General features: G+C 50.3%; 2 long non-coding RNA genes, 1 other non-coding gene, 1 gene segment (V, D, J or C) and 1 further gene; 3 read left to right on the forward strand and 2 right to left on the reverse strand.

Moving 5' to 3' along the window:
* Positions 1-8715, reverse strand: part of LOC105372948 (uncharacterized) — a 63619-nt gene extending 54904 nt beyond the window's left edge. Inside the window, exons 1-2 of one of the 2 annotated variants that reach the window (XR_938047.2) lie at positions 8055-8715; positions 6091-6240 (exon numbers count right to left, since the gene is read on the reverse strand). This is a non-coding gene — a long non-coding RNA (uncharacterized LOC105372948). Of the gene's footprint in view, positions 1-6090; positions 6241-6436; positions 6545-8054 lie in introns of those variants that run through there. The other variant, XR_001755438.2, reaches the window with a different exon arrangement.
* IGL (immunoglobulin lambda locus) overlaps positions 1-10592 on the forward strand; it is an 896838-nt gene that overhangs the window by 849809 nt on the left and 36437 nt on the right.
* On the reverse strand, positions 1612-5241 carry LOC102724638 (uncharacterized). 3 transcript variants are annotated; one of them, XR_938046.4, is made up of 5 exons: positions 5158-5241; positions 4438-4537; positions 3504-3591; positions 3169-3309; positions 1612-1995 (listed from the first exon to the last, which is right to left on the reverse strand). It is a non-coding gene; the product is annotated as an uncharacterized LOC102724638 (long non-coding RNA). The 3 variants fall into 3 exon arrangements; XR_001755434.3 differs by lacking the exon at positions 1612-1995 and having other exon boundaries at positions 2630-3309; positions 5096-5217; XR_001755436.2 differs by lacking the exons at positions 1612-1995; positions 3169-3309; positions 3504-3591 and adding an exon at positions 4030-4264 and having other exon boundaries at positions 5096-5217.
* Positions 5028-5508, forward strand: IGLV3-1 (immunoglobulin lambda variable 3-1). The segment is given in 2 exon segments: positions 5028-5079; positions 5213-5508. Coding segments are annotated over 2 exon segments (348 nt in total).
* On the forward strand, positions 10383-10495 carry MIR5571 (microRNA 5571). The gene has a single exon (NR_049835.1). It is a non-coding gene; the product is annotated as a microRNA 5571 (primary transcript).

Here is a 10592-nt window from a genome sequence, read left to right on the forward strand (position 1 = left end):
TGGTGCATAGCCTACCCAATCTAACACTTAAAATTAACTATCACTTAACCCAGCAAGGAAATAAAAAGATAATTTAAAAAATCAATCAAAAAAGGAGACAGCAAAAGGGAAAGAAAACTAACGAACATATGGGACAAATATAAAATAAAGAGCAAGAAGATCCTTCCAGCTCAGCCTACTGAGTTTCTGGGACTACAGGAAGGTTTGTAGTTCTCCTTGAAGAGGTCCTTCACATCCCTTGTAAGTTAGATTCCTAGGTATTTTATTCTCTTTGAAGCAGTTGTGAATGAGAGTTCACTCATGATTTGGCTCTTTGTCTGTCTGTTGTTGGTGTATAAGAATGCTTGTGATTTTTGTACATTGATGTTGTATCCTGAGATTTTGCTGAAGTTGCTTATCAGCTTAAGGAGATTTTGGGCTGAGACAATGGGGTTTTCTAGATATACAATCATGTTGTCTGCAAACAGGGACAATTTGACTTCCTCTTTTTCTAACTGAATACCCTTTATTTCTTTCTCCTGCCTGATTGCCCTGGCCAGAACTTCCAACACTATATTGAATAGGAGTGGTGAGAGAGGGCATCCCTGTCTTGTGTCAGTTTTCAAAGGGAATGCTTCCAGTTTTTGCCCATTCAGTATGATATTGGCTGTGGGTTTGTCGTAGATAGCTCTTATTATTTTGAGATACGTCCCATCAATACCTAATTTATTGAGAGTTTTTAGCATGAAGTGTTGTTGAATTTTGTCAAAGGCCTTTTCTGCATCTATTGCGATAATCATGTGGTTTTTGTCTTTGGTTCTGTTTATATGCTGGCCACTTCTCAAAAGAAGACATTTATGCAGCCAAAAAACACATGAAAAAATGCTCACCATCACTGGCCAACAGAGAAATGCAAATCAAAGCCACAATGAGATACCATCTCACACCAGTTAGAATGGCGATCATTAAAAAGTCAGGAAACAACAGGTGCTGGACAGGATGTGGAGAAATAGGAACACTTTTACACTGTTGGTGGGACTGTAAACTAGTTCAACCATTGTGGAAGTCAGTGTGGCGATTCCTCAGGGATCTAGAACTAAAAATACCATTTGACCCAGCCATCCCATTACTGGGTATATACCCAAACGACTATAAATCATGCTGCTGTAAAGACACATGCACATGTATGTTTATTGTGGCATTATTCACAATAGCAAAGACTTGGAACCAACCCAAATGTCCAACAATGATAGACTGGATTAAGAAAATGTGGCACATATACACCATGGAATACTATGCAGCCATAAAAAATGATGAGTTCATGTCCTTTGTAGGGACATGGATGAAATTGGAAATCATCATTCTCAGTAAACTATCGCAAGAACAAAAAACCAAACACCGCATATTCTCACTCATAGGTGGGAATTGAACAATGAGAACACATGGACACAGGAAGGGGAACATCACACTCTGGGGACTGTTGTGGGGTGGGGGGAGGGGCGAGGGATAGCATTGGGAGATATATCTAATGCTAGATGACGAGTTAGTGGGTGCAGCGCACCAGCATGGCACATGTATACATATGTAACTAACCTGCACATTGTGCACATGTACCCTAAAACTTAAAGTATAATAATAATAAATTAAAAAAAAAAAAGAAAAGAAAATGTCTCTAGACAGCTTGGTTCCTGAGCTGGGAATCAACCGTCTTTTCTCTCCCTTTCAACCCAGAGTGTGGCAGGCGCGCCCCCTACAGGCAGCTAAAAGAGCTGACTGAGATGCCGTCTCCATAGGGAGGGATTTGGGCTGAGAATTTGGGCTGAGGATTTTCCCATGCCCTCCCTGGCAGGCTGGTCCCAGGACACTCAGAAGACTTACTGTTACAGGTCCAGAGCATTTCTCGTCTTCCTTTTCTCTCTCCTTGCCAAGTGACCTTGGAATTGTTCCTCCCCATCTCAGCCCCTTCCCTTTTGTGTTAAGTGCAGTTTGCAGATTTTGTGTTCCTAGGTCCTGTATCTGTAGAATTTTAGGGAAAGCAGTGCTGGTCACCCACATGGAATTCAAGACAGCGAGCCCAGGACCAGAAACACAGACAGCAGTGGGGGTCCCCACAGAGCAGCATGGTGGGCACCAGGTGGAGGTAAGAAACCAGGAACCACTCCCCTGAGTGTCTTCAGCCCCAGGTGAACTAGGGAGGGGTCAGTGGGCTGGGCTCAACCCACCGGGGACTCTCCTGTCACTGCCCCAGCAGCACCATCCTGGAAGCCCCTATATGTGCTAAGCAGCTGCCAAAGAACTTGATTAATTACCTGTAAATTTCCCTTCACCACACCTGACCACACATGACTCCTGCCCCCAAATTACTAATTTATTAAAATGGCACAATTAGCCGAAATGGCCTGAATCCAGGACCCCTTTCAGGTTTGCCGCTGACCTCTCAGGTCCTCACACATGCCAGACTCTTTCCACAGGGGCCTGACTCCACTGTTTCCAACACAAATCCCAGGACTCATTTTTCTCTGTCAGTCCTGACAGCAGTTCCAGAGACACTTCCCCATTAAGATGTCCCCAGGCTCTTATAATACAACCTGTCTGTTATTTTCTGCCTAAATCTTTTTAATTATCCCCATAGCATTTACAACTGTAGGAATCTTTGCCTATTGTTAATTTTATTAATTGATTGGTGTTAAATATTTACTTAATTGGTCATGGATGCTTTTTTACCACAGAATCACACATAAAAAACAGACACAAACAGCTAAGGGTGTATTTCTCGCTGCAATAATACCCACCACTTTCACGAAGACACCAGGGTCTTTCTCACTTTTTGTCCCACCATCCCTATGATATTGGCTTTATTTTCATCCCTGCTGATGTGTGACCTCAGGGTGGCTGCTGCAGCTCCAGCTATCACTCCCATATTCAAGGAGAAAAGGGCCTCATGAATCTAGTGCTCTTTCACAAGAGCAAAGCTTTCCTAAGAAGAATTTCACCCACTGATCTCACACCCCACTGATCAGGCCTGAGTCACATGGTCAATCCCAGCTGAGCAGGACCTGGGAATCACAGGCACCAGTCTTTTCGGTGAATATAGAAGACAGTGCTCAGGTGGAAGGTGACAGGGACTGTCTGCTGGGTCTGCAAACCCAGTTTTCCTGCACAGCCAAACCAGCACGATGAACAACTCACTTCAAGAAGGCTGTGTCTTGTTCCTGCTGAATTCACCGCATGGAACGTGTCCCAGACCACAGTGGGTCTGGATTAACATTTGATGGGTGGATGTTCTTCTGTCTCTGACTTTGGTGCAGGAGTCACCACTGTACGCTGGTCCTGCATCCACAGCGGGGACCAGTAAGAGCCAGTCCCTGAGTCCTGTGATCCCCGCCCTGCATGCCAAGCCCTGGTATTACCCCCATGACCACCCACCGCCCAGACACATGTGCAGGCAGCCTCAGATGGACCTTCCTCCTCCTCTTCCAAATATTCATGTTCATATTGTCATGAGTAATCTGCACCCCTCGCACCTGGTATTGAGGCAGGCATGAGTCACAAAGAGAAGAGAAAAATTTCCTCCATTGGCACCAGCAGTCTGCAGACCAGGGAATCAGGGACCTGAACAGAAGATTTTAATTATACACCCGGATCCAGGAGGCCCTTGAGCCTCCAGCAGCCAGTATGGAGCAGCCACCAGGGGACAGAACAGAGTCACCTGGCAAAGTCACTTGGAGGTAGGGTAGACCTGGGTGACAAGGAGATGCTGACATGCAGGGAGGGTCAGTGACCACAACCTGAGATCTAGAAAGGTGTCGTTTTTCTACAGCATCATCCTTAACATCGAGTACAAATTCTCCAGGCTTTGTGTTTCTCAGCTTTGTCTCTGGCCAATGTTGCATATTTGACACAGGTGCAGACACTTTGCTTCCCCCTACACACTGGCCCACTCTTCTGTGCTAAAACGCTGTCATTGCCACAAACGCCATCCTCCCCTGTGGGCACATGTGTTTCATCACCCTCCTGTTTGCTCTGAGAGCCCCCTCATTCTGCTACACAGCAAAGTTTTCTTTCAGCATCTAAGCTGTACCTGACCATGACCACATACTGGGGGTACATAGGCACAGCACCTGTGCCCTACCCTAGGAGCTCACAGCCAAGGCCAGGAACTTACAGCATCTCCTGAGTCTTTCAACACTCCGTGTGCACATGACAAGGGTGAAGTTTGATTGTGGAAAGCACCACTCAGAAGCAATGGCAGGTCCCTGCATGTGTGCCAGCCTTACGGTGTCACCTGTAGAGTGGGGTCATGAGGGTCACTGCACTGGGTTGAAAAGTGCCCTCCAGAGGGGGAGCTAGAACCACACCTAACTTCTGGATTTTGCCACAAAATATTTAGGGACAGGACACCCCTGGAGTCCTCAATTACCCAAGTTATTCTGAGCCAGTATTCAACAGAGGAAGTACCTTAGATCTCAGAATAATCCCTCAGTCGCCATTGTAAGTCAGTCCCTGGCCATCTCCACGCAGGACAAGGAATGGCCACATGGGCAGGACATCATACTACCTGGAAAACGCACAAAGAATTCCTCTCAGAGTTCTGCATGGCCAGATCAGCTCAGGAGTGAGGCCATAACACAACCTACAGTGACGATGTCAACCCAGATGATGGGACCAGAAGGAGAATGAGAATTCTGTGTGCTGAGGGTGGGTCTTTAGGGGCCCCCTCTCTCTCTGTCCCTTGGGGCTGAGCCCTTCTCTGGAAACCACACAGCTCCTCCTGCAGCAGCCCCTGACTGCTGATTTGCATCACGGGCCGCTCTTTCCAGCAAGGGGATAAGAGAGGCCTGGAAGAACCTGCCCAGCCTGGGCCTCAGGAAGCAGCATCGGAGGTGCCTCAGCCATGGCATGGATCCCTCTCTTCCTCGGCGTCCTTGCTTACTGCACAGGTGCTGCCCCTAGGGTCCTAGCCACTGGTCCAGTCCCAGGGCTCTGGGTCCAGCCTGGCCCTGACTCTGAGCTCAGCAGGGCCCCCGCCTGTGGTGGGCAGGATGCTCATGACCCTGCTGCAGGTGGATGGGCTCGGCGGGGCTGAAATCCCCCCACACAGTGCTCATGTGCTCACACTGCCTTAGGGCTCTTTCATCCCTGGATCTGTGTCCAGGCCAGGCACGTGGGAAGATTTACTTGGAGTTCAGCTCCTCAGTTTCAAGCCTTTTCTCTCCCGTTTTCTCTCCTGTAGGATCCGTGGCCTCCTATGAGCTGACTCAGCCACCCTCAGTGTCCGTGTCCCCAGGACAGACAGCCAGCATCACCTGCTCTGGAGATAAATTGGGGGATAAATATGCTTGCTGGTATCAGCAGAAGCCAGGCCAGTCCCCTGTGCTGGTCATCTATCAAGATAGCAAGCGGCCCTCAGGGATCCCTGAGCGATTCTCTGGCTCCAACTCTGGGAACACAGCCACTCTGACCATCAGCGGGACCCAGGCTATGGATGAGGCTGACTATTACTGTCAGGCGTGGGACAGCAGCACTGCACACAGTGACACAGGCAGATGCGGAAGTGAGACAGAAACCAGCCACCTCGGCCTGGCTCACAAGACCCTTCCCTCTCTCCTGCCCTGTCACACTGAGCAGGAGGGAGCCTTCCATGTGGAATGGAAGTTTCCAGTCCTATCCCTGCCCTTATGTTCCTGAGAGACGGGAGCAAGTTCCTGCCCACCTCTAGGCTCAGCTTATCCCAGAATAAACTGAGCTAGTCATTTTGATGATCAAATGCCAGCTCCCAAAAGACCCCAGAAACCCTGATATCTAAGTAGCACCGACTCTATTAGTATCAAGGGAGACTAGCCCTAGGGTGGAATCATTTTAGTGTCTCAGAAGGCACAGGGCAATGGAAAGTGTTTATGAGGTTTCAGGATATGCACGTGAGCAGTTAAAGGCAGGTCTTACAAGGAAGGAACCTACTAGAATTGGGGCCCATCTGTGACATCATAGCACAGCCTGGTGGACACAGAGAAGGGAAGGTCCTGAATCAAGTCTTGATCAGTAAATATTTATTGGATAAGTGAGCAATTTACATAGGTGAGAACTGTGTGCTCTCTTGAGCAGAACACTTACCTGGATAATTGGTTTTCAGGAATTCCCTGAAGCAATGAGTGACATTCTTTATTGTTTTCACCCTCATCCACCTGGGAAAGAGTATCCTGGAACCAGCAGTTAACATTGACACAGCTGGTCTCGGTCCTCAGCACAAACATTCATTGCAGGCTGAAAAGTGACAACGGAAGAGAAAGGAGTTTATTAAATCCCTAGACACAAACAAATCCATAAGCAGAGATGAGAGATGCGGGCTCAGCTGGCCCAGTCCCACAGGGGTCATTCCTCTTGTGATGGAAATGACCACATGAGGGTCCCCCAAGCGGTGTTGGGGGGCAGTCATGGGGAACTGGCCTCCCAGGGCTACCTGCTGCTTGGGCTGGGCAGAGGTTAGAGGGATGGAAGTCTGGTCCAGTCCTTCCCAGCAGCATCTCCAGGCTCCTCCTCCCTCTACTGGGGCTTCCCCTCCACTCCCCAGAACCATCATTGCTTCCTCATCTCCTGTCTCCTCCCTGCCCCAAGGCCCTCCCTGTGCTCACCCTGGCTCCTCCCCCTGCTCCATGCCCAGCCTCTGCAGAGCAGCCCAGGCCCAGAGACTTGGGCAGAAGCTTCCGTCCCACCAGCTGCAGAACCTTCCCTACAGAACCAGGCCAGTCCCTGTGTCTCATATTTGTAGAGATCCCAATCACCCTCAGAGATGACGGGTGGGAAACCAGCCCACAGTGACCTAGGCTGTTGGGCATATGGCCTTCAAGCTGGCCTTCAAGCCCACTTGGCTGCATCTCCTTGGCCAACTCCAACATCCAGGCTGGGAGTCTGGAATCCTAGTTCCCCTGGCCCATTCACTCCCACTAGGGTTGCTTCTAAACTCCCTGGGCCTCAGCTTCCTAGTCTGCCCACTGGAAGCAGCGACAGGCATTTTCCAGGGCTGCGGTAAGGGCCCTGGAACACCCTCTCTCACCCTCTCTCTCCCTTTCTCTCTCTCTCTCTCTCTCTCTCTCTCCCCCCCTCCCCCTCCCCCTCCCTCTCCCTCTCTCTCTCTGCCTCTGTTTCCTCCTCAGTAGTGGGAAGACCCCCTGTCAGGTGGGCCAGTCCATGACATCTACAGAGGGAGCAGGAACCTCTCCTATTTCCTGGAGGAGAGCTGGGGTGGAGGCTGCAACCCAGGATCATCAGAGGAGCTGGGGTCTTCAAGGTTCCTAGGGACCCCTTAAGCGGGGGTCAGAGTGGCTTCAGCGGTCTTATTGCTCGGTCCAGACAGAAGATGTTTCCAGTTGTGAAAAACGACTTCAGGGACAACAAAAACAGAGATTCGCCTCTCCAGACACCAGTGGTTGGTGTGCCTGGAGTACTCCTCGTACCAGGCAGGGGAGAGAGTCCTAGACAGAGGAGGTTCTAAGTGTCACCTAGATTTCAGGCCTCGGGGCCTGTATTGGGTAGGTGATGTCACAGTGAGTTGATGCTCTGTAGCCCCTTCCCTAGGAGGTGGCAGAGGGAAGAGCTGGTGGTCCTCTGAGGTGTGAGTGAGTCCAACCCTGAGGGTCTTCCCAAGCTGGAGGTCCCTGGGTGTAGACGGAAGAGGTTCTGGTCAAAGAGGCCTGGTGTTGAATCCTGGTCCATTTATTCATTTGGTCAAGAAATATTCATGGAGGACCCAATATGTGCCAGGTGCCAAGCCAGGTGACTGGGGACACAGTGTTGAGTGGGACAGTTGGCTCCTTCACTGCTAGAGGTATTATATTCTCAAGCCGAGACTCGGCTCTACGATTGTATGTCAGATATATAGCCTCTATGTGCATGTCTCCAGAGACTGGTTTCCTGGAGTTCCAAGTGACAGCCATCACTCACCTCGAATGCAAAAATTAAAGGAGCATCCAAAAACCTAGTGACCCAGATAAATAATACTTAATGCAATATTTTCAAAAATCAAAATTAATGCCCAACAAACCCACAATGAACAAAATTTCAGGATCTGACTCACTCACCTCAGTGGTTTTGTTCTTGGTCCTACCCACAGTCCCACAGGTGAGTGAGTACCCACAGGGATGCAAAACCAGAGTCAGGCCCCTGCACCGCCTTCTGCCCGGCCACCAGAGCCCTCCCCTGGGTCTTGGCCTTTCTCTTCTGAAGAGCTCCAGCCAGTTCCTCCTCAGGCTTCCTCTACTGCTGGTCTCTTCTGCCCCCTACTGGATTCTCCCCTTACAGCTGCACTCCAGGCAGCTGGTGGAGGTTAAAGAACAGAAACCTCCCAAAACTCCACCCTCCAGTTCCAGGCTGGCTCCACCTCATGTCCAAAAAGGCTGGTCCTCCAGGTCTTTGATTGCTATTAGTAAGTCCCAAGACACAGTCTTTACACCAAGTCGCTGTGTGCCTTGGGCAAGAAACTCTCCCTCTCTGAGACTGTGTTTCCACACTGGTAGAAGTAGCTAGAAGACCTCCCTGCCAGGTTGGCAAGTCCACTCTGTGACATCTACAAAGGGAGCAGGGATCTCTTCCATTTCCTGGAGGAGAGCTGGGGTGGAGGCTGCAACCCAGGATCACCAGAGGAGCTGGGGTCTTTGGGGTTCCTGAGGACTCCTCAGAGGGGGATCAGGAGCTGCAGAGCCAGCTTCTAACTCTGGGGACTCAGAGATCCAGAACCTTTGTCATATCCCCAGCCAATACTTTGTCATCCTGTGCCTCAGACTCCCCCAGATCCCAAGAGTGAGAAGCTCAAGATGAGACAAGAAAGACCAGCCAGCTTGAATTTAGGGATGGTGGGGAGTGGGGAGCTGGGGACCCCTGGACCTGGGGGAGAGGAGTCTGCAGTGCCTGCAGGTGGAGTTTCTGGGACCTGGGGGATGGAGACTGGGCAGGGGACTGACCAGCAGAAGGCCAAGGTGGGGGATACCCTCAGACATGGAGCAGGGCAGAAGCAACTGGATGGGGTACATCCCTCTGCTTTGGGAGAGAAGGGCCAGGGCGGGACCCAGAGAGCTCTGCAGAGGCACCACAGACCCTCAGCAGGGGGTCTGCCAAACAGGACAGCTGGACTTGGCTGCTTCTGCCCAGGCCTGGATCCAGCCCTTGCACATCTCAGGGCAGGGGATAGGCCTGGGTGGCCAGAGCTGCAGCTGCACCTGCTGGGGAGGCCTAGTCCAGTCCTCCAGGGTCCCCAGACAGACTCGGATTTCCGACTGCAGCCACCATGGAAGGATGTGGTCTGCGGTGACGATGTCTATCCAGAGGCCATGGCAGGTGCAAGGGTGGGGGTAGGGGCAGCAGCTGGGGATGCTACATTTAGGGACAGCCCCTTTTTATCCCCAAGACCTGGGACTGTCCCTGAAAGGAACCACAGCTTCTGGGTCCTGAGCAGTGGGTGAGTGTCATACCCACAGAGGGGCTGGAAGGGAGCAGCTTCAGCCTAGACTCCCAGGGCAGACCCTGCCCCAGCCCCGAATATCCAAGGAGCCCAAGATCAGAGGCAGGAATAGGCCAAGCTCCCCAGTGGAGAAGCTGTGCTGGACCAGGGGTTTCCCAGGGCCCTCCCTTGTGCCCTGAATGATGTCTGTTAGGGCACCTACACCCTGTTACTGCTCAGTGCCTTGCCTATTTTGAAGGACAGGGATGTGTGGTGATTATTTGTATAATCCAGCCCCCAGCACCTGGTCCTCAAAAGTTACCCAAGCAATGTGTATAAAGATCCAGCCTGGAGATCTTTGAAAACCGATTCGATGAGTCGAACCATTAAGTCATGATCACCATCCTCAACTTCATCTCTTTCTTCCTCCTCCTCCTCATTATCATCACCTTCAAGAACTGTTAAGAGTCTGAGACTTCATCCTATTTGCAGACTAAAAAGTAAGCCTGCCACAGTGCCATGGATGCTGGCAGAAGATACAAGACTCCTGGGTCAGAGACAACGAATAATCTGTTTTTCACAGCAATAGCAGTTGCCAAGGTATCAGCATTGTCTTGCACCAGTTCCACAAGGTGATGCAAAGAGGGCCAGGTGACATCTGCATGCCAGAGCTCAGGGATCCCAAATATTTCATACTTGACAGTAAGCATATATCTGTGTTTTGCTCCAAAGAGAGGCATTCTCTGTACCTTCCGAGGTTGTTCACTCCACAAACACTCTTGAAAAGATAATCCACAATCAGTGCCTTTGCCCGAGAGACATGCAGAAATGCAGAGATCCATAGTAGACCACTGTCTCCCAACAACCATCAACTTTATCAATGAAATGAAGTCTCAGGCTATTTGTCTGTTACCATAGCCCACAAAAATGTCTGGCTTGATTGTCACCAAATGTATCAAGGAAGTTAAGGAGTATCTGACACAAAATGTGAACCAAGCAATTCTCAAAGGAGCCTCCCAGGAAATTCACTTTAGGAAGTCCTAGGAGGCTCCTCTGAGAGTTGCTAAAACAAAACATTGAGAGTCCTAGAGGGCTGCAGATCTGAACTTGAGCAGATATTTTTAAAGATTTTGTGGCAGAAAAAGAAACTGGAAAGCAAGAGGGCAGACCCTCATTGCAGTTC

Source organism: Homo sapiens, chromosome 22 (assembly GCF_000001405.40).
Source record: "Homo sapiens chromosome 22, GRCh38.p14 Primary Assembly".
Taxonomy (NCBI): domain Eukaryota; kingdom Metazoa; phylum Chordata; class Mammalia; order Primates; family Hominidae; genus Homo; species Homo sapiens.